The sequence below is a fragment of the Homo sapiens genome, chromosome 1 (assembly GCF_000001405.40).
Source record: "Homo sapiens chromosome 1, GRCh38.p14 Primary Assembly".
In the NCBI taxonomy this organism is placed as follows: domain Eukaryota; kingdom Metazoa; phylum Chordata; class Mammalia; order Primates; family Hominidae; genus Homo; species Homo sapiens.
The window spans coordinates 61299364-61324030 of NC_000001.11; the positions used below are offsets into that span (position 1 = coordinate 61299364).

At 38.7% G+C, this 24667-nt stretch overlaps 1 protein-coding gene across 4 annotated transcripts in view, besides 1 other annotated feature; it reads left to right on the forward strand.

Moving 5' to 3' along the window:
• Positions 1-24667, forward strand: part of NFIA (nuclear factor I A) — a 385562-nt gene that overhangs the window by 222137 nt on the left and 138758 nt on the right. The window lies entirely within an intron of this gene.
• Positions 1436-2034: an enhancer, noted in NCBI's record as "OCT4-NANOG hESC enhancer chr1:61766471-61767069 (GRCh37/hg19 assembly coordinates)". NCBI's record gives its function as "activates a minimal SCP1, AML or CMV promoter by ChIP-STARR-seq in naive H9 embryonic stem cells {active_cell/tissue: H9 hESC(naive)}" and the evidence as "EXISTENCE:reporter gene assay evidence [ECO:0000049][PMID:30033119]".

Consider the following 24667-nt stretch of genomic DNA (forward strand, 5'->3'; position numbering starts at 1 on the left):
CTATACAGAAGAGAGCTTTAACTTATGTTTCCAAAATGAGGCCACTACCTCTTTAATTTTTCTTTTTAATTTAATCTCAATGTCTGTAGAAGAAAAGCTTTCACTTAAAGCACAAACTTTATGAAAAGCATTTTTGTTAAAGGGAAATCTTAATGGGAAGAACTGTAGATAACAAATTTGAGGAAAATGTCTGGCAACACAGACTTCTGCAAGTTTGAGGCTCTTGGTGAAATCTCAAACAGTCCAAATGGAAAATTACCCAGTCTGTTTCCTCAAGATAGACTTGTTTGTACAGCGACTCAAAGTTTAAATGGCTGAACAGTAGGTACACACGCTGTACTTATAAGCTGTTTGTATTACAATGCTCTGTTTTTAACCTCCTTTTAGTTTGGAACACAAGCTGGTTAATGTCTTAGTTCTGTGCTTCCTGGATTATTAGTGAATAGCTAAGTTGTATTTAATAAACAGAAAGAAAGTAACAAACAGGCCAATACCTTCACTGAGAAAGCTTCTCATCTCTGAGATTTTTACTTCTGTTTGTTATGCAGAATATTTTAAAATTAGATAATGTTTTATACTCATGAGATGAAAGAGTTTTCAAATATCTGAGGGTTTGTGAGTATATCCGTATTTTTGAGAGTCCCAGTAAAAGTTTCTGGAACTTACAAAAAACTCATCCATGAGCTGGCCAGGTCCTCTCAAGGAGCAAATCAACTGAGGATGACATTAAAAAAAATTTTTTTAACTTGTTTCAACAGTTGTTTTCCGCATTTCCACAGTAATTACCATGCTTACCAGTAAGATACAATTCATCTCTGGATCATATTTTATGTGTTTTAGGCAATAGCAGTGATAGCTAACAATTACACTCTAGAGTTTTACAAAACACTTGCTTATGCGTTATCTCATGAGGTACCTGACAGATCTTCTAAGTATAATTTTATGATATTCCAGCAGATCTATACCAGTTTCACTAGAGTATGAGTAATAAGCATATTGAATTTTTAAAAATTGACACCTGTCTGAAATTTTTAAGAACAAGGCCATTTAGAAAATTAGATTTCAAGAACTCTAAATACTTACTTATATTATACAAAAATGTTACAGAAAGTACCATTAAGCATGGCTATTTCTATATATTCTTCGATAGCCCACAGAAATTTATTTAAAATAATTCTCCACAATGACTAATCCATTACAACCAATATTGTTTTAGTTCTTTCTCATGAAAATAGACTACTAAAATTATAGTCTTTCTAGTTACCCAGTATACATATACACATATATATATGTATGTATGTATATATACACACACATACCATATGTAAGCTGGCTATATATGTGTATATATATGTATATACACACACACCCATATGTAAGCTCGATATGTATGTATGTGTTTATATATGTACCTATACACATAGAGGTACATACACATGTATAAACCTCCATTTTTATAAAGATTGGTGGCTTATAAGAATACATACAGTAAGATAGAAAATATAAACAAGTAAAAAATGAGAATTAGGAAATACATAAATTAAAGTAGAAAGGTAAAAATCAGAGAAAAAGAATTGAACAAAGGTTCTACCATATGGTTCTACATAGTTAATAACATTGAGATATAAGTTTGATTCTGAGTTTCCTGGCAGCCAAAGGAAAAAGAGAAACGTATGATTAATCATGTGGTTCTCATTACCCATGAGAAAATACATACCAGTTCCTCAAGGGAAGGAAGCTTTCCCTGGCACTTAATTGTGATGTAAATTTCTCACGTAGAACTTCAGCAGGAGGACACCGGGTGATATGCTAACAGTCAGTGCTATTCAAGTAGATAGACTAAAGGATTTGGTAAGATAGCTTCTTTTAGGGCCCACTAACTAGAAACTGAGAACCTAATACAAAAGTGTAACTCAATAAAAGTGATTCTGAGTGATCCATGAAAGTAACTTGCTGCCAATCCATCAGGACTTTTATAAGAGCTGGAGAAATTCACATCATGAAATTTATAAATCCTGAGAAGCAGGTAGGTCTCATAGTCCTTGGATGATTTTAAATATTTCTCACAGCCAAACTTTTGATTAAAGCTGAGCCACAGACAGTTCCCATTGGTGTTTTTTAAGAACTGATATTTTCTTAAGGACTCGACTTTACAGAGTAAACAAACAGGATTGGCCTTACAAGGTAAAAACTGAAGCTCCTGAATATAGGAAAAGCAAGCATTTACCCTTGTGGTTATTTTTTAAAGTGCTTTTTAAAAATTCCTCTCATTATCTTCCCTTGATAGATTTCCTGAAGATTTATTTAACAGTATAATGTCTATTGTTATTTAAAGAGAAATGAGGTTTAGAATGCAGAGCCTTTTTTAAGAGAGTATGAACATGCTGATTTAGTTCACCTCCAAACAGAAATGATTGACATCAGATTCTTCCTGAAAGCAGTTTCTCCTGTGGAAAGAACTTTGGGTTCTTCAAGGGGAGTGAAATGGTAGGTTCTGTCTGAGCCAGGTCACCTACAAAAGCAAACAACAATGCTGTTTCCTAAGGTGGTTGTTGGCAGCACTTAGCCGCTGCTGACCTGGTAACCTTTCCTTTGAGTCTCATCCATAGCTCTCCTCTGAGAGAGAACTTTCCCATTTACAATATTACTTGGACACACTACTGTTGCTTAGGACCAAAAGGGTTATTTACACAGGGGAGATAGTGGTAGGTGTGAAGGTATGTGTTGTGACAACTGCCATTTACCCATGCAGTGGGCAGAGTTTCTCTTTTGACCTTGTTCATTCATAGCAGTGAAGTGTGGGCTAGGACCTGTAACATCTCCTAGTTTTAAATGCTCCGGATGGGTACTCTACAAAAGTCTTGGTCATATAGAACCTATATGGAATGCAGTCATGTTAAGAAATTGTTAAGCTGTTGATCATGATATTATACTGTTAAACATAACAGTACAAAAAGAGGGTTTTGTTCTCCAAATAGCTAATTCATAGCTACAGTTATTTTTTTAGTGTACAACCTCAGATTTATTTCATCAGAGAGCAACTGGGAGGTCCCAGGACAGTGACTAAGTGGGAATATGCAGCAATGACGAGTAAAAGCTTAGTTTCTAAGAATCTCAGTTTTTGTGGAAATCCCCTTTAGACTAATGATACAAGAGAAAACATGTGGTGTGTGTTGGGTAGATCATTCCCCAACAGGATGTTTTATTTTTTGTGTTTAGTCTTCGTCCATAGTAACAATTATAATGAATGCATCAAAAATAAAGCCTGCAGACCTTGTGACCTATCTTGTAATCAGCACAAATTAGTTTTAGGGCAGGAAAATCCAGCTGCATATTAGTTTTATTAGATGTTCCCAAACATTTTATTGCAATATTTTGGAAAAAACATCCACAAACAAACCTAAGTTTTCAATGTGTTTCCTATTCAATATGTATTTTGTTTTGAAGGATAATTAGATTGTATGTTTATAATTCCTTTGTTCTTAATTCATCAAATTGCTGCCTTTTGGGAAAATAATTTCAGCATAGGAAAATTACTCTTTTTTTCACCAACCTGTTCTCAGAAAGGGAAATGTATCTTTAGTACACCCCCAACTCCCAAAAATGTTCTCCACATTCTAAAAATGCTTTTAAAAGTTCAAACCATTATTCCTCATTTGGTTCTAATGATATTGAAATGGTTTTTTCCTATTTTGAGGGTCACAATTGCTACTGTTAATCTAATGGCTAAATGATCTGTGCACTGTGTCTGCTTTTCATCTTCATTCTCTTTTTATTGGTGAGGAAACTGAGGCTCAAAGCGATTAAGTACCTTGCACAGGTCAAATGGCTTCTAAGAGGCAGAATGTAATCATTCCTTCTCTCAACATTCAGGAAATATTTAATGAGCCCATACTTTATTCCAGATACCTTGGTAGTTGCACAGGATACATCACTGAATAATAAAATCCCTGCCCCTCAAGGAGCTTACCTTCTAGTTGATGGAGACAGATAATTAAAATATCAATGAGAAAAGTATCTAGTGCATGAGATGATAATAAGTGCTATGGAGAAAAATTAAGAAAGAAAGAGGAATAGGGAGTCCAGAGTAGTTTTGGTTTGAAAGGCAATGATGGCCACAAACACATTGCTAAGAAGTTGACATTTGAACAAGACCTAGAAAAGGTGAGGGAGTGCGACACACAGATTTCCTTGGGGAAGACTAGTGTGGATGGAATGAAGACAGCAAGGTGAGCAGGAGAAAAGGAACTCAGGTAAAAGCCTGGGGCAGTTCATGCAGGACAGTGGCTGTTTGACTTCAGCAGCATAAGAATCACTTGGAAGTCTTATTAAAACACAGATCTCTGGGCACTACCCTTACAGTTTCTGATTCAGAAGTTTGCATTCCTAACAAGGGTCCAAGTGATGCCAGTGCCACTGGTCCAGGGATCACACTTGAGATCCACTGAAGCTATTGGGAGGCTTTGGCTTTTCCTCTTAATAACATGAATGCCATTTCCAGGAACTGAGAATAGGAGAAACAAAATCTCTTTATGCTGTTCCGAGTACACTGTAGGAGACAAGGGCAGAAGAAGGGAAACCAACTAGGGTTCTACTATAGTAATCAAAATAAGAGATCAGGGTGACATTGGCCGGGCGCGGTGGCTCACGCCTGTAAACCCAGCACTTTAGGAGGCCAAGGTGGGCCAGATCACTTGAGGCCGGAAGTTCGAGACCAGCCTGGCCAACATGATGAAACCCCGTGTCTACTGAAAATAGAAAAATTAGCTGGGCATGGTGGCACGTGCCTGTAATCCCAGCTACTCAGGAGGCTGAGGTGAGAGAATTGCTTAAACCTGAGAGGTGGAGGTTGCAGTGAGCCAAGATCACGCCACTGCACTCCAGCCTGGGCAACAGAGCGAGACTCCATCTAAAAAAGAAAAAGAGAGAGAGAGAGAGATCAGGGTGACATCATTGAGCTATGCTCTCTCTCCATTCTGAGTTTATTTGAGGTTGTCCTCTAAAGCAAAAGCATACTAAGCATTAGTTATGTCAACCTAAAATTCCTTTGGTTAAATCTTCAGTTTAATTAGTGTATGAATTCCTTTTCAAAGAGCTGCTTGCCCACAACTTTGAGAAACGGGTGGAAAATATGGGGAGTTTATAGTTGGGATACGTTTCAAATATGGCTGACAAGGATCTGCCTAGGAACATGGAACTCATAGAATATCCTCAGGAGGCAGTGGGGAACAGGACACTGAGATGGTCCATGGAAGAGAAACAACAGTTGTTCTTCAAATTCCTGCCATTTGATCTAAGATCTGATTTTTTTTTTTGTAGGATTGAAGAGATGAAAGTTCCCCTGGTCCCCCAAAATTTTGTTTATAGTACATACAAATGCTCCCTGAGATACCCAGCTGTATGAGGAATAAATAAGGAAAGAGAACAATAACGTGGCACCACCTTTTCCTCCTTCCTGATGTACAAAATGAGGGAAAGTCATAAACCTCCAATTAATAACTGTGCAACCTTGCTCAAGTCTCTTAATCTCATCTGAAAACAGGAATAGTAATAGTGCTTGTCTCATAGCAGGGGTTAAGGGAGGGTACTCATCAAATGTTAGCTGCAACTATCATGATCACAATGAAATGTAAGTAGATTTCTATTCTCTTTTCAAGATGGAGACTTACTGGTCCCTAACCAAAATTCTTACTGTATACAAAAATAGTGTAGTATAAAGTAAGTCAGGGGCAAAGGAGAAAACGGTGGAAATGCGGTGGGCATGGGAGTGTGAAAAGCAGTAACCCCTTAAAAGGAGAGAGAAGGAAAAGAAGTCAGGTAGAAAATGGAGATATGGTAGGGAGCAGGAATGATTGATATTAAGGTAGCCAGAGGCAAATACAAAGGGGAAGGAGGGGATGGGAAGGGGTGGCAGAAGAGAAAAGGACCAGAGTTCCTAGAACCTGTTAGCAGGGCAGAGGTTAACCATAAGCAACTCATTACCATGCCCCCCAAAGCATCAGGCCAGAACCTCCGTTAAACACAAGACGGCCATTGGCTGCACCTGCAGAAGTCTCTGCATTTTTTATGAACAGCAGAAAACAAGAGAAGTATTAGAGAGGTTGCAAGTTAGAGACTGGAGACACCTGGAGACTCTACATAGCTGTGGTGGTTTTGCAGTGTAGACTTATGAAATCTGATACCCCCATGCAGTCCTGTTAGGCAGATAAACTGAGAGCCTAGACATTTTATAAGCCCCCATGTAAGCATTTGAGGGGTAGGATTCCTTCAATGCTCTTCCAATAGGATGGAAACAGAAGGGAAGACCATCCTGTCTTCAGGGCTTGCCCTCTTGTTTAATCCTCAGATGGACAACATTAGTCCCGTTTAACAGAAGAAGACTCTGAGGCTTGGTTAGTAAAAGAATATGGCCAGAATCCAGACCTGGAGCCTAGCTCCAAAGGATTGCTTTCCTGTTAGCAAGACACTGTCTTCTTTTGATTTTTTTTTTTTTTTTTTTTCTGAGACAGAGTCTCACTCTGTCGCCCAGGCCGAAGTGCAGTGGTGTGATCTTGGCTCAGTACAAGCTCCATCTCCCGAGTTCACACCATTCTCCTGCATCAGCCTCCCGAGTAGCTGGGACTACAGGCACACACCACCACGCCCGGCTAATTTTTGTTGTATTTTTTATTAGAGACAGAGTTTCACCGTGTTAGCCAGGATGGTCTCAATCTCCTGACCTCGTGATCCGCCCGCCTTGGCCTCCCAAAGTGCTGGGATTACAGGCGTGAGCCACCGCACCCAGCCTTCTTTTGATTGTTTTCGGAGACTTGTACTCAGCCTTTTTGCTTCTCTCACTTCTCTGGTTCTCTACCTGCCTACCTTTTAGCCATTTCACCTATCATCCTGGAGACCCAGATTTTGTTCTTTTTTTTTTTTTTTTTTTTTTTTTAAGACAGAGTCTCACTCTGTCATCCAGGCTGGAGTGCAGTGAAGCCATCTCTGCTCACGCAACCTCCCCCTCCTGGGTTCAAGCGATTCTTGTGCCTCAGCCTCCCAAGTAGCTGGGACTACAGGCGCACACCACCATGCCTGGCTAATTTTGGTATTTTTAGTAGAGACAAAGTTTTGCCACGTTGGCCAGGCTAGTCTCGAACTCCTGACCTCAGATGATCCACCACCTTGGCCTCCCAAAGTGCTGCTAGATTTTGTTCTCAAATAGCAGCTGTAGGATTTGGTGTGGTATTTTTTCCCCTCAGCTGTTGTTTCTTGAATGCTTTCTCTTGTTCACCCACTTCTTCTTTACCACTTACCATGATTAATAACAAGGTACCTGCAAAGTAAGGTTTTCCCCTGAATACTTCCTAGATGGTGGAGGTTTTTCAGAAGTACCACCCAACCTCAAAAACACATAGTGGTCCACATACTGGCCTTGGAGTCCTGGAGGAGTTATTCTATAGGAACAGCAAATCCATGCACAGCCAGGCATTGTCTGTCTTGACATATCAGGGTACGGAAAACTCTTATGCTGTAAGAAGAGTCACACTAAGCCAAAGTTTAGGAACCAGCCTGCTCCAGTATGCCTTTTGGAGGACTTTTCTTTTCTAATTCACCTTGCCTTCCTCTGTCACATCTAACCCAATACTGTCCATATAGGAAAAATTCAGAAAGTATTGGGTTGGTGAATGCAGCACAGATTACCTATTTAAATTAAAGCTGTGTCTTTAGGGAAAAAAACTTCTGGGGGATGGGAGCAGTGGCATGAGCTTGGAAGGATTTTTGCATTCTACAGCAAACCACAGCTGCTATGGCCTTAATGTTTGTGTCCCCCCAAAATTCATATGTTGAAATCCTGACTCCATGGTGATGGTATTCAGAAGTGGGGCCTTTTGGGAGACTAGGTCATGAGGCTAGAACCCTCTTGAATGGAACTAGTGCTCTTATAAAGAGAACACAGAGAGCTAGCTAGCCCTTCTGCCACGTGAGGATGTGGACGGTGTGATCTATGAGGAAGAGTGCTCCCACTGGGTAATAAATCCGTTGGTGCCTTGATCTTGCACTTTCTAGCCCCCAGAAGTGTGAGAAATAGATTTCTGTTGTTTATAAGCTACTTTGTTTATGGTGTTTCGTTACAGCAGCCCAAAAGGACTAAGAGAACACCACCACCCAACACCAGAAAATGGGATTTGCTTAAACCAATCTGAGAATCAGTCACCTGGATAAGTGTGTCGAGTGATCCATTGAATCAGCCAGCAATGCATAAAGAATCATTTCCAGTACCCACATATGACTGTGCTTCTGTTTTGTGTTTTATTAAGTTGCTCTGGAGTAATGCCACTATCAGTGCTTCCCCAGCACAAGGAGGTTGGCAATTGAGTTACCTGTTTGTGACAGCTAAACTTTCATGAATCTTTAGGAGATCCATTTGCTAGCATCTTTTAAAGACTCTGGATTTTTCTGAGCATTTTGTGATGATAACTGATGCATCTGAAGTAGAGGTGGGAGCCCTTCTTTGTCAAGAGTTAGAAAATACAGGCTGTCTTGTCTTCCTATAAATGTCAGTTGTTGTTGTTGTTATTATTATTGTGTCAGCAGTAAACTGCTCCCCAGAGGACTAAGATACAGCATTACAGAGAGAGCATGCCTTGCTGTGAAAATGGGTAGTAGAAGTATGATGATATTATTTCGTGGTAATGAATTTACCTTTATGACAGATCATTATCCCCTTCTGTAGCTGAACTGGATGAAGGACAAGTCTAGCAGAATAACCTGGTAGTACTTGGATTTATTGGCTTTAAATTTTTAAGCTGGAAAAATGCAGTAGCAGCCAGGTTATCTCTGTATGAATGTTGCAGAGGAGGACAGAGATGAAGGAAGTCACATTTTCTTTCTAGTAATGGTAGAAAGCAGGTGATGATGACAGTCTTTTAACGAAACATGAATGCAGTTGCTCATATGCTTTGCCATTTTAGTGCACAAGTCAAGGAGTAAATGAGTAGAAAAAAATCCATAAGATATCATCATCATCAATAATAAAAAATTGCTTAAGGTCTCATTGAGTGTTACACCATAGGAAAGAGCAAAGATTTCTTTTTAAAATGAGTTAGACGAGACTTCCCTCTCAGGTGTGTATAATCCAGGTTCATGCTTTAAAGGCTATATGTGAAATAGAACTGTTTTATATTAGTGAGCTGTTGGGGATAGTAAGTTGCAGTTTTGCATAAAGGCAAACCATGGTACAGTGAGGATGGTGCCCCTGTGGGAAGAAGATGGGCTTGGAAATCATTTAGGTTTACATCCTGGCTTTGTCCTTTTCTAGTAGTGTGACCTCAAGCAAATCATTTAAACTTTCTGTCTTAGTTTTCTCAGGAAGCAAAGAAGTTAGTACCTAACTTTCAGATTTCTTTGCAGCTTTAGTTTCAGGTACATAGTAAGTCTTCAATAAATGATCACTATTGCTGTTCCTGCTGTTGTTATTGCTGTTCTTGTCTTGATTCAGAAGCCCTGGTGGTGATACTCCATGCTATATTCCAAGGAGTAACCATAACCTAATTATTTTGAATGACTGAGAACCAGTGCTGATGTAAAGCTCCCTAAACCCAGCACTTCTCCAGAAGCCGTAAGAAATCCATGCCATCATTTAGTAACCTACACTGTAGGGCTAAGATCTCAATCCGTTTTCCATTTGCACACTCATCAGAGTAGATAGAGACTAGTTGTTCACTATGTCTGTGAATACTCTATAGAGTTTTCCCCAGCTTCCTCCTTTCCTCCAATTTTCCTTACAAAGCCTTTCCTTCTTTCGTCTGAGCTCTAACACTTTGTACGTTGTAGTAATTTTATGGAGCCCAGTGCCAAACATCTCTATAGAGGGGATGTTGTAAGGGTTGAATATGAAGAGACCCTACATGTGACGTGTGTCCTACGAATCTTGGAGTCTTGACTCCTTCTCCAGTGTCAGTACTCGTTATCTTTAATTTGGGGCCAGATATGAGCACCCCACACACTTTCCAAAAAAGCCCCCGATCCACAAATGTATGCATGATTTTTCCTTACATAAGTCTTTTCATGTTTCTGGACATATTTTATCTCCCTTCCTCCTCTAATACTTTTTCCCTTGCTTTCCACAGTGAGAAAAACAACAACAACAAAAAAAAAAACACAAAATTCACACAAAGGCTTATGTATATAAAGACATGGCTCCAGGTTCTCATCAGTTCAAGGAGTAAAAGCAAATTCCAAAAGTATAGAAATTTAGGTGGATGTGGCCGGGCGCAGTGGCTAACGCCTATAATCCCAGCACTCTGGGAGGCCAGGGTGGGTGGATCACGAGGTCAGAAGTTTGAGAGCAGCCTGACCAACACAGTGAAACCCCGTCTCTACTAAAAATACAAAAATTAGCTGGGTGTGGTGGCATGCACCTGTAGTCCCAGCTACTTGGGAGGCTGAGGCAGGAGAATTGCTTGAACCCAGGAGGCGGAGGTTGCAGTGAGCCGAGATTGCACCACTGCACTCCAGCCTGGGTGACAGAGTGAAACGCCGTCTCCAGAAATAAATAAATTTAGGTGAATGTTACCTTCTCCCTTTAATTTTCTATTTTATAGAATGGTTGCATGCAATAAAAGCAGTTGCTTCTCTTTTAACTTTTTAATAAAATGGAAGTCTGTTTTTAAAGCCATTTGCTTTGAATATGTAAGAATACCTAGAGTGTTTTACCATGGTAGAGATAATTTACAAAGTAAGACCCAGTTGGAGTTGCTCAGTTAAGATGTATCTCAGGTGAAATGTTAATCAATTCAATGTTTCTTTGTGTTTTGAAAATCTCTTTAGTGTGCTGGGCCGATGGCCACATTTTCTGCTGTGTATATGTGATATCAAACTTTAACAAGTCTGTTGCAACAAGGATAAGACACAGCAGTAGGAAAAGACCACTGGAGATAAAGGGGCTCAACTCTCTTCCCAGTGAGAACTGCCATGTTATCTTCCATCTGATCACATTACTGGAAGCTTACTACTCTTCAGGAACTCTTCAGCACTTTACCCAAGCTCCAGTGAGGAGGCGATGCTGGTGCTTATGGGGTACTTGGACAAGTAGAGGCTCTCCCTCGCTTGTCAAAATGCCTGGGGAGGAAGCACCTTCTGCCATTTAGTGTATGGGGGGAAAAGGAAGAGGGCAGTGAGGGATCTTAAATGTCTCGTAATGCTCTGGATAGACCTGCCTAAGAAAGAATTAACTTTCCCCAAATGCCAGTCACGTCCCAGTTAAGAAAGGCCTGCCTGGTTCTTCAGCCTCATCAGTGTTCCCAGAAGTCCCAGCTCCAGCCATCACAAACCAAACGTGCCACTTGCCTTCTTTCTTTTCTCTTTTCCTTTCTTCCTCCTTCCCCTCCCCTCTCATCCCCTCCTCCTGCTTCTCCCTCTTTTCCTTCCTTCCTTCCTTCCTTCCTTCCTTCCTCTGAATTTCCTGTATATCCTCTCTGAGAGGCCTTACTTAGATGCCACTTGCTCTGCGCTTTTGTTGCCCCTGGCACACATGTGACTCCACCTGGGTGGTGAGCCCACTGTGTGCTCTTTCCACTCTTACTCACCTGTGCAAGCTCCTGATGGGCAGGTCCCAGTCTTTATCTCTGTATCCCCAGTACTGACACAGTCCTGGAACATAGTAGGCCCTTGGTGTGTTTTAGGGAAATGAACTAATGAATAGTAGGTATTTAGTTAGTATTGCATCGCGTTTTCTGAAAGTAATTTTAAAAAAACACATACTGTAGGCCAGGTGCAGTGGCTCACGCCTATAATCCCAACACTTTGGGAGGCCAAGGCAGGCAGATCAGCTGAGGTCGGAAGTTCGAGACCAGCCTGACCAACATGGAGAAACCCCATCTCTACTAAAAATACAAAATTATCCGGGTTTGGTGGCACATGCCTATAGTCCCAGCTACTCGAGAGGCTGAGGCAGGAGAATCGCTTGAACCCGGGAGGTGGAGGTTGCGGTGAGCCGAGATCGCGACATTGCACTCCAGCCTGGGCAACAAAAGTGAAACTCCGTCTCAAAAAAACAAAAAACAAACAAAAAAAACATACTGTAGGGAGTTCAGTAAAAATAAGGTCAAGGTTTCTCAGCCTCAGCACCATTGACATTTTGGGCAGGATACTTTGGTGTTCTGTCACGTGCATTGTCCTATGTGTGGGTCACTGTCCTGTGCGTTGTAGGATGTTAGCAGCACCCATGGCCTCTACTCACCAAATGGCAGGAGCATTCCCCAGTAGTAACAACCAGAAATGTATCCAGACATTGCCAAATGTCACCTGGGGGCAAATCACCCCAACTGACAATCATCAAATTAAGATAAAAGAAGAACTAACATATTGAATTCCATTTAATAAACAAAATTTCTATATGTTGTGGCACCAATAATTCACTAATCCATTTAGTAAACACATTATGGAATGATCTTCAAATTAATGGGCTGTATAGTCTTAACCGTTAATGTTTGAGTATTCTGTAAGCTCTTAAGAATTTCAGTATTATAAAATAATCCACCCACCCTTTGGAGGCTTGAAGCACCTCCACCAGTGGTGAAGAGCCCTTTGGAATCACCTTTGCAGTCATAGGCTCCTAGAAATAACATCAGGAGTATTAGGAAATGGTGCCCATTGCATTCCTCTCCCGTGGCCTTTACTGGGAACTGTGCTGGAGACTGTGTTATTTCATCGGGGTTGGCTGCCACCAAAGTGTGGGGAGCCATATGTTAGCTATTCTGTGCAGTAACACCTGCACTCTATATCACAGGCAAGCTTATATGCCTGTAATGATAAGCCTGCCTATGTAGACTTGTGAGTGCACAGTTGCAGCACAGTTGGCCTGCTCTTTGGGTGTGGGAAGTAGAGTTCATGGAGGTAAACCATTGCCAAGCAAGAGATTTGTACTCTCCCTCATGTTTTGTCCATGTGAAACCTTTGTAAGTGCAGTGTCCACATGCCCAAGGGGCCCTCAGGTAAAAACACAGATAACAACATTGCTCCAGGGTTTTTCTTTATTAGAATTCTGTATTGTCTAACATGATTGGTAAAACCAGGTGAGCTCCTAAATTGTGGTTTTTAGTGACATTCTATAATTCACTGCTGACCTTCTCCCCAATGTTGTGACTTGGAAAAAAATTCAAATTAAGACTTTTTTTTTTTTTTGAGACAGGATTAGACAACGTGGTCACCCAGGCTGGAGTGAAGTGGCACGATCATGGCTCACTGCAGCCTCAACTTCCCAGGCTCAGGTGATCCTTCTGAGTAGCTGGGACTACAGGTGCATGCCACCATGCCTAGCTAATTGTTTGTATTTTTTATTTTTTTATTTTTTAGAGATGGGGTTTGTTATATTGCTCAGGCTGGTCTCAAACTCCTGGGCTCAAGTGATCCTCCTGCCTCAGCCTTCCAAAGTGCTGGGATTACAGGTGTGAGCCACCATGCCCAACTTCAAATTAGGACTTCTTTACAATAAGGGTTATTCTATTCAGAATCTCATTAGATGTTAAAAAAAAATCAAACCAAAACAAAAAAATACTTTTTAGTAATTCTGTCCCACACCTTTTACTTTTAATTTATATTACTTTTAATTTGTTCTTTCCCACCTTTTACTATTAATTTGGTGTCGCTTTATCCTTGCACATATGAACAGAAATATAGTAAATTAAGTAGTAGGCAAAGATAGGCCAAGTCAAGGATAGTAGTAGGGCAAGGATAGAGCCCAGAGGGAAGAAGTAGAGGGGAAGTGTGTTAGCGGTGACAAATTGTATTCAGAGAGAATGGCTTCAGTGGTATTGATAAGGAAGAAACAACCTTCCCACCAGGTTGTTTGATGAACCACACTATTAGACCATTCTTGCTTTGCTATAAAGGAATATCTGAGGCTGGGTAATTTATAAAGAAAAAAGGTTTAATTGGCTCACTGGTCTGTGGGCTGTGCAGGGAGCATGCTGCAGGCATCTGCTGGGCTTCTGGGAAGGCCTCAGGGAGCTTTCACTCATGGCAGAGGGTGACGCAGGAGCAGACAGGTCACATGGCAGGAGCGGGAGCAAGAAAGAGAAGGGGTTGGGGAGGTGACACACACTTTACAACCAGATCTTGCAAGAACTCACTATCCTGAGGACAACACCAAGAATATGGCACTGTTTCATTCATGAGAAATCTGCCCCCATGATTCAATCACCTCCCACCAGGCCACACTTCCAATATTGGGGATTACAGTTCAACATGAGATTTAGAGGGAGCAACATCCACACTCTATCAGACACTTTCCCTGGACTGTAAAGCTGGAGTTTTGGTTTGGGTAAAATCTACTGAGTCCATCATTTGGTGAGAAAAAAAAATCTATGGTACTTAGATGTGCACATCAGGAATTTGTATGTACACATTGATTACAATAATGGTTATAATCCATCATCATCTTCCAAACCTGTTCTAAGTGCTTCCGCCTCTGGAGTAGGTGTTCTTACTCGTGCAATTAGGGAACAGTGCCTTAGTTAATTACATTGCTTCAGTTGAAATCCCGACTCTACCAGTTACTGTCTGTGTGACCTTAGACTGTGCTTTATCTGTAAAATGAAATTATAATATGTAATAGCACCTACCTCATAACACTTTGAAAATTACAGGAAATAACACATGGCAAAGCTGAGGAGAATATCTGGCATGCAGTGAGCACTCAGTAAATATTAGCTCGTATCACTTTATTGTTATTGTTATTCTTACAACCACAAAAAAACTGTGTCACTTTCCTGCACTTCACGTCACTAATCCTGCTGGTCTTTGATGACTTGTATAGGCCATCACTGCTTCCACAAAGCCTTCCCTAGCCCTTTCACTAGTTTAATGCCCCCCTCTGTGCCCTCAGAGCCTGCTTCCACTACCAGAGCCCTTACCACATTGTATTGTAATGCTTCCTCTGTTGGCCTGCCTCCCCTACTGGACTGCAAGGACCTGAAGGTCAAAGAGGTACACTCTAATGCCTACCATAGTACCTGAAGCAGAGAAGATATTCAACAAAGGTTTCTTGGGTAAATTATTGAAAGTTTAATTAACTTGCTTAAGGTCACAAAGCTAGTAATTGAGTGAAACCCATGTCTGACTTATAAAAGTAAATAATAAGCTATAAGAAAAATATTCCTCTAATAATGATAATGCACTAAATTATGATTCCACCTGATTATTACTTACAGAATACTCTCAAAATTACTTGAAACCTTCCAAATTTTGGCTCTATCATCTCTTCAAACCTCTGTCTGACAATGGTACTCACTTTATACTCTGCCTCCAACATATACACTTGACTTCCTATCCATAGGGTTATCCTTGTTGCCCCCCATAAATTTGACTTGCACTTTCATCTCCTCTCAAGCAGTCATCAGTATTTATTGAGGCCTACATTGCAGCGACCTGTGATGCTCTAAGGATACAGAAATGATATCAGAAGGTGGTGACATTTGAACTGGATCTTCCTGGTGTGAATCAAGCCTTCCCCACTAGCTGTTCTTTGAAAGAAGTTTTGACTAATCTGTGAGCCCTTGATGACACGAAATATTTTGATATATGTTCTGAGTTCACTGTTCGTATTTGTTTATAGGTTGGCATCAATAGATATTTGTTGAATGAATAAATCAGGCTGTAGAGAAACATTTTAGGTTTATAATTAAAGCACCTGAAACAAAAAAAAACACTACATTTAGCTTCTCTCTAACCCTTTTAATGGTAGTTGGAACATCAGAAATTAGCCATTGAGCTTACTGACTCTTTTTCTAACGATTTACTGTATAAGAGAGCAGAATGCTATTGGCTTCACCAGCTGTGGCCAGAAGGGCTCCATGTTCAAATTAGCTACAAATCATGTCCCTTATGGCATTGTTGCTAATGGTGACACTGAGGGTCAGAAATGCCTACGGTAGTGAAAAATATTTCAAGTGCCCCTGACAGTTAACATCTGACAAGAAAGTGCTTTTCTCTGTGTGGGTTTTCGAGGGAGTAAATGAAATTGAACTCGCATACATATATGTTTGTGTATACATGCATAAACATGGTACTTTGCATCTGGTCTGTGACTACGCTGCAACCTTGGGAGATTTGATCGATTTTCTGATGTTAGAGGTAGGAATTTAACTAAGGGAGTATTCTTTGGTAATCGCAAAGCAGAAGGACTTCCATGCAACCTGGTACTGGGTAGCAGCCATTGGCTCTTAATTTTGTAAAAATGACAGATATTCAATAAAGTATCAGAATGATTAGAGGGAAAAATATTAGAGCTGGAGGAGCTGCCCTACTTCTGAACAAGCAGTTGAAACAAAGGCACTCATTGGAATTCATGGTTGGTTGACATTATGTAGCCTGTTGTTGCTTAATTTTGTTTCCTGTATATTTTCAGGGTTGTGTTCATTTGGTTTTAGCAATAAGGACGGGTCATTTTGGTGCTGTGTCTTTTTAGTTCACCTGCATCCTTGAGTTGAGAGCAGAGAACAGAATGCATATTTATTTTCAATTTTTACATGTTATTTCGTATTTCCATAGAGTCTGTGGACTTTTAGGTACAATGATGCTGTCGTGAACAAATAAGATGCTGTCTGAATGTTCCTGAGAGCTTTAGTGCAGTGAACACACCTTCTCAGCAACAACAAAAGGAGATCAGGGAGGCTTGGCCAATGTACTCTCTCGTCCACATACGGACTGATAAGCCAATCTTCAAAATCAAGATTCTTCCAGAAAGTCCAAATTGTCGAGTTTATATTTATAGACCACATGTCTGAGAGTCTCCTCCCAACCCCCCTCAACCAAAGATAGTAGTTTAGATATAACAGTTTTTAAAATCAAGTTCTCACTATAAAATCTGAGTTAGATACTTGGGTAAGGGTGAGGAGTAGAGGGTATGGCTGAGGAAGAAGGGGCATTTCAAAAGAATTGTAATAATCAGTCCCTGACCTTATAAGAGTTTATATTCTAATTACAGAGAATATAAGTCAGACAGCTCAACAGTGGCAAGATCACATAGTACTAAATACCTGCTGAGGTCTTAAGGCAGTGTTTATACACTGGAGGGTATTTTCCTCCAGGGACCATATGGCTCTCCTTAAGGGTATTCAAAAATGTGTGAGGGCATTTTTGGTGCTCACAAGGAGGGGATGTTGCTGGCATTCAGTGGTGCAGGCCAGGGATGCTGAGCATCCTGAGGGGACAGGGCAGTTCTAAACACTGGAACTGATTCCCCTCCGAATGCTGATAACCCTGATGAGAAACATTGTAGTGGTTCCGAGAAGAACAAGAGCGCTCTTACTTGGAGCCGAGTCTGAGATGTCCTCAACACGTTCTGTGAGTCAAAGGTTATGTTCCCTAAAATCAAGGAAGTGGCCTGGATCATAAAGTGCTTCAATGATCAAAGTCAGTCAAGTGAAATGTGTCGATCATTCTCCTGCCTAAAAGGCCAAATTCTTTCAGCATTGATTTAAAGCTATAAGGAATCAAGACCCTTTCTTTAATGATGCTTTCTGATGATTCTCCATTTGTATTGACGGAAGGAGCTAAAGTGTGGAGGCTCTGCACTAGAGGGTAGTTTATTTTAAAAAGTTATTTCTGCATTTAGTGTTAATATTAATTGCTTATTTTATATGCCTTTTTATACCATCTGAAGTACTTTCACATCTAAAAAAATTTAAATAACTTTTTTTCAAAAAAATACTGAAAAATAAAATCAGATTTCTAAATTAAATAAATTAAATTCAGTTTCCTAGAGCAGGCAGCATGGCATATTTAGTTATCAACAGGAATTTTCAGCAAACGAAAGTCTTTTAAAAAATAAAGTGAAACTGGAAAAAGGAGGCCATTTTTAATTCTTTCTCTATATACTTCTGTACATTATTTATGAAAAAGTAGATAAAACTTGATCTCCTGCAAGTAAGATTGACCTAACGTCCATTTCTAGAGTATTAGTAGTCATCATCCCAAAAATATAAGACCAAAATTTGTATCCTTATGTCTAGAATAATGCTTGGCCTCTATAGATATTCAATATGTATTTAAAGAAGAGATGGTGATTTATATTTGAAAATATTTGAGGAATTATAAACAATTATTTTCATAAACACACAAATATATATACTAATATGATTATATTTAGGAATTAGATTTCTAACATTTAAAATAGCTTAGAGACTAAGTACTGTTATTTCTCACTTTTTGTAGAAAAATCAAAAAATTCTAGAGAATTTATTTTTAATAATTTGTTACTAGCTTTAGAAAATAATTTTTTTACTCAAAAATTCACTTAAATAAAATTACATTATCTACATTTTGATTTTTATAGACAACTTTTATAAGAATACTTGCATTATTTAACATTCCATGTGAAAAGAATGTGGTTATTTCTTAATTTTTTCTGTTAAAAATTCCCTGTATGATTGAAGATCTAAGATATAAAGATTATGTTTGTTATTTATAACAGTTATCATTTTTTGAACACATTCTGTGTTCTAGGTTCTTTGCTAAGCATTTTAAGTGTACTATTTCATTATTCCTAATGACAAACTTATGAAGTAAGTATAATCATTAGTGTCATTTTACAGGTGTGGAAATTGAGGCTTAGGATTTTGGAATTATAATTTCTGTAATACTGCCCCTCCTACTTTATTGTAAATAAATAATATCTTGGAAATATGATTTTTGAAAGATGAATGAACATTTTGCCATATAGATCCCTTTACAAGAGAAAAGACAAGTACATTGCAAATTCACCCCGATTCATATTTAGCCCTGAGTATTTGTTTTTTTCAGATCACAAACAACTAAAAACTATGAAACTTACTATGTTTGATAATTACATATTTTACATTAGATATATAACTTACTTAAGTTCAAAACTAAGTCTGGAGAAGGTGGATAAATAAGTCAAAATTAACTTCATTTTAAGGGAAGTTTTACAAGCAATGGTAATAAGTCGCTGAGGAGAATGGACCCCGGCATGTTGGAATCCGTGGTTGCAAGCTGACACTTTGAGGGAATGTTCTTAGCAAAACACTCACTTCAACGGAAATTAGGTCAGCCTTCTGGAACATTTATCATGTATACCTGTCACCAGCAAGACCCAGTCCTTAAAGTGAATTGAGATCACAAGCAATGGTCCCTCCTGCTCTGAGCTGCAAAGGACACTCTAAACCAATAGTTCTACAAATATGTGAGCTTGGCAGACGCTCCCATGAAACTAAAGCCAACACCCATATAGTTGCTCTGGGAATTGAATTCCTTAATGCTTTGTTTATAGAATTTTGAAACAGCAAATGGATTTGGTCTGTTCTGAAAAAACAATCTGTCCTGTGGCTTGTTTGGAATAACATCTAGAGTTGCTATAGAAGGATGGAGGCAGATGACCCATGTCTGATTTGGAAGACAGTTTCGCCAGTTTCTTCTCCTTGTCCTTTATTGTTCAGCCAGGTTGGTTTTTGCCCGACTCAAGGTATTTGCATAGAGGAAAGGCCACCTTCTACCGAAGCTAATTTGATATAGAAACTAGAGTAGTTAGCAAAATCCAGAGCTAAAAGAGTTAGCAAAATCCAGAGTAATAGAAGGTAAGATAGAGTGTATGGTAAAACCAAAACAACGTAAATGAGTCATAACCCAGTGCCCTTTCAGTAATCATATGGCATCATTCTGGTGGTTTCAGAGCAGTGTCAGCAAGTATGGAGTCCTGTGTAGGAATCTGAGAGTGCATCTGTGTCAGTGTACATGTACTTCAGCCCAGTGAATATAATTCATTGAGGGTTTTATGCATGGAAATTACCACATTCACCAGGTAGCCTGTATCTACTGGACTAAGTTACCTTGCCTTGGAAAGGAAGTAATTACTAATCTTTCTCTTGTGTTTATGTTTGGCAAACTACACCTAAAGACTTCACTAAAAAATTGGTAAAATATATATGAAGCTGGTTGAAAAAAAGATGAAATTATACATATGTTTGTGTAGTAGCAGGAATCTTCCATTACATCTCAAGAATGAAAGGAAAAAACTATTAAGAATAGATGTTTCATTTCTGTGTTCATTCATCACAGATATACTGAGTACCCACCATATGTCATACATTGTACAAATGGTAGAATCAGAAAGATGAGAGAAGTAAGATCCCCACTTTAACTGAGTCCTTATTCAAGCTGTGTGTCTGTGTGTGTCTGTCTGTTTGCGAGTGACAGATCCTTAAACAAAAAATAATGATAACCTATGTGAAATGCCCCAGTAGAGGTTATTTTAAAACTCAAGGAGAGAACTCTATAACTTAAAGATATTTTGTCTACAAAAAGGAGCGAAGGTTTTATTCGAAGAAAGAGGAGCCTGTTTTATATGAAAATCCTGAAGATTTGAAGGGGCTGAAGAAGTAGAATGGATATGGAAGAAATCCACCAATGATTTCTTCCTGGAAGAATTAAACACACACACACACACACACACACACACACACACACACACACACACCAACTTTCATGATCACACTCTATTAAGCCAGGACCAGGAAACAATTTCTAATCAGCACTCTGATCTGGGCAGAGATTGTGCAGTCTTTTATACCAGGCCTCAGATCTGTGTTCTCTATTCACACATGCTCACTTCCAGCTGTTGTCATTGAAATCTCACATAATCTTCCAAGGTCAAAGGGCAGTCACCCATGGCTGCTGCAGTTAAAAGGTTATGCTGATTTCTGTTGTCAAATATTGGCCCTTTTCTCTTCCAACCACTCCCATTCTACTTCTTTTTTTTTTTTAAACAAGAAAAATCCAGCCTAGAATTGCATTACATGACTTTAAAGTCTTAAAAGTGTTCCTCCATTGTGCTAACACGACATGGCCTGAACAGTCTAATTCATTCTGTTACATTTCACAAAGAATTTTCTGGTACTTCTAAAATACTTTGTGCTAGGCCAGCAAACTTCAAAGTATTGTGACCCACATGATTGTGGCCTGCCATAGTATCTGCAGAAGTGAATAATACAGGTTCCACAATTTAATAAACATGGTGAATTTTGGCATCGATAACTAATTACTGGGTAAATGAGCAAGAATTACACAAAAAATGACTTTTGAAAAGATGAAAGCTCTTTGCATTTTGTGGTTCTAAACATTAGCTAGTTTTATTTTATATTTGGAGACGTATATAATAGTACATTTAATATTTGGAGTCTTAGAAAAGTAATTGTAAGGATTTTTAAAAAATATTATTGCTTCACTCCATCCAGGATTTTCTTTCCATGCTTGGTGAACCAAAATCAGTGTTGAGTATCTTAAAATTAGCACATGGCCCCTGGCTATCTACTTTCATTATCATTGCATGTGTCCTCAGGTGGTTTAGCAAGCAGGATTCTCTGTAAATGGTCTGTCTCACAGCCCTGTGTATAAAACCTAAAAAGGAAGAAAAGGGAGATGGGCCATTACGATTTTTTGCTGTTTAACGTCCATGAACCAGGGTAGCCCTCAGGTGATCCAGTTTCATGTCTGTTTCACTTAAGATAATCAGTTTCTGATGTATTCAGGGAATACATTTCCCTGTTTTTTCCCTAGTATATGTAAAAGTTCATAAGCAGAAACTAAAGCTATTACAAATAGCTTGATTCATTTGCAAATTACCAGTTGTTACTGTCCAAGTTTAGAGGAAACTTTGATGCAGAACATAAAAACAATAAGTTTGCTTTTTAAAAAACCTCTTTAATTCAAAACCGGGTTAATTAAAAAATGTTAATTTATAGTGCATTAAAACCATAAAATTAATTTTAAAATATTAAGCTTATAAAATACTGATACTATGCTAATTACAGAAGACCTTAGCTTTTCTAATATGATGCAAAATTCTCTGTTTTTTAAAATGGTGCTAAAGTAAGTGTTTAAATTTTTAAAATAATCCCTAAAGATTATTTTTGTTTCTCTGTTCTTGTACAAGTCTAAATTTTCAGTTGAGTCCGCTTGCAAAACAACTGTTTCAGCTTTTAAGACTAATAAATGCATAATTCTAAATGTTTCGGGGAAATGGGGAAAATAATTTGTTGACATGACGAGAGAGAGAAAGGGAGGGAGGAAGGAAGGAAAGGAAGGGAAGGAAGGAAGGAAGGAAGGACGGAAGGATATTTAGCCTGGAAGAGAGAAAATTAGGTTGATGAGATGTCTTCAGATATTTGAAGGATAGTAGAAATAAAGAGAGCCAACATTTGTTCTGCCTATACCAGAGGACAAAATCTAGGTAAATTACAAGTTATAGGAAGGTAGACATATTCAGGGAAATATGATTTTTTTAACCCCTCATTTTTTTATTAACCACAATTTTTTTGTTGCAACATGACGATTATTACTCCACTACTAGATGAACTTTAAGGTCCCTTCCATATCCAGTTCATTGTGTGATGCCATGGATCTGATATTTGCAAAGATACAAATAGGTAAAAATCTTTTTTCACTTTTATTTTTAGATATTTTGATATCTAATAGACATAGTCCTTTAATTGCTCAATCACTTGGAACTTAAAACTCATGAACTTTCTTTCTATGAAGTCATTGGGCAATCACATTTAGTTTAATTAAATGCTACCCTTCCTTTATTAACTGCAGGAATTGGTGAAAAGATGTGACAAGGCCTTTGGATTAGACTGGGTAATTAAGTCTCTGATGCTAAAAATCATGGATTAAAATGGGATAAAATTCATTATATAAAGAGTGGTAAATATACCTGTGTTCTAATCCTAATTTTGCCACTATCTGTGTGACATTAAGCAAGTCACTTAACTTCTCATGTCTAGTTTAAAAGCATTCCTTTGCAGATTAATAATACATACTGTACTAGCAAAATATGTTTGTAGACTGGAATTGGCCTGAGGGCTGCTAAGTTGTGACACGTTAGATTCAAAAGGGATAAGTTAGTAGTTATGTGGGTTAGGGTAAGTGCTTAGCTACTATAACAAAGCAACCAATAAAACGCAAAAACATACAGTAGTTAATGTATATTGAAATCTATTTTTCTTTCTGTTAATATTCCCAGATGAGCAGCCTAAGTTGGCAGGATGGTTCTACTCCACAGTGTCATTCAGGGTCCCAGGTTCCTTCTGTCTTACTGCTCTGCTATTCCACGGGTGTGTGCCTGCATGGTAGAAAGTGTTTTCGCTCATAAAAAGGGGTAGAGACAATGTTCAGGGCAAGAATTTCCTTTCAGGTACGTGGGGGTAGAAGTTGATTGTATCACTTGCGTTCACTTTCTGGTTGTGGCCACTCCTAACTGTAAGGCAGTCTGGAAAGTGTGCTTTCTGGCTATCAACCACGTATATGTGTGACAAACAGCAGACTCATCACAGGAAGATATTGCAGTAGTCTTTATTAGTTTCTAATGTTCTCCTAGAAAGGTATTACAAAAACATGAATTTTATATAAATACATTACTGAAAATCTTGCTGTAAATATCTGCCTTGACTGGGGACATAAGTCCCCAAGAGTAAGGACCTTGTGTTATTTTACCTGTTGCATCCCAGGTCCTAGGATTGTGGTTGCCATGTAATAGACATTAAGTAAACATTTATTGAATGGAAGCAGTAAATTAAATATTGACTCTGTCTCTATGGCTATGGCAGAAATCATTGAGTGAGCAATGATGGCAAAAACAAACAAAAAAACACAGATTAGGTGTCTGTATTGAGTAACAGTAAATGAGCAGCACAGGGAAATTTGGAGCCACAAAAGAAGGCCAACAGTGTGTAAGTCCCATGACACATACTTCTCAAACCTCTTTTTGCCCCATTCTTCTTTTGGTCTAAGAGTACATTATTTCCATAATGGTGACAATTTCTTAATGTGTCATGATAAACCAAAATGACAATCATACCCATGTTACAAATGCATTTAAAGCAATCCATGTATTCATCTGAGAATCTCAAAACACCTCATCCATATTATTAGCTGACAAACATTTCTGCATTTTGCAAATTCTCAGGCACAACTTTCTAGATATAGAAGTGTTTCAGCCTTACTGTCAGTCCAACACCATATGTCAACCTTTTAATGTTTACCATAAGCACACTACCAAGTGAATTTTTCTCCACTATCATAAAGGTTAATCTCACAAACAGAATATATATGTACTTTTATTGCTCCTGTGTTCTTTTTTAGATATCTGAATTTTTGCATTTCTTTAAACTATAAGGAATTATTCTAAAAATAAGCCGTATCTCAAATGTCACCAATGAGTGGCAGAACAATTTAAATAGTCACTATACAGTCAGAAATCAGACCAGAAATTTAAAATTTGGCATTAATGGATCAGCAGAAACATCCCTGCACCTGACTCCTCAAAAGGAAAAACTGTTTTCCAAGATAATCTAAATTAAGAGTACAGAAGTAATATCACTGTAGGTGAGCTAACAAAAATTTACATCACGCTTTAGAGGACTACCAAATAACAGTATCATAAGTCACTCATCTGAATCACTAAATAAATATTTATTACACACCTAGAATAAAGGCTTATGCTGGGCCCTGTGGACAATGTGAGATAATGAGACCCAACCCTCCCCTCCCCGGTTTGTTGTAGGAGTGCAGAGATAATACATATAAACAAATAACTGTCCAGTCAGGTAGAAAGAGGCAAGTGCCGTAAGACAAGCAGAGAAGTTCTCCTTAATTGAATAGTGTCTCCTGAGCA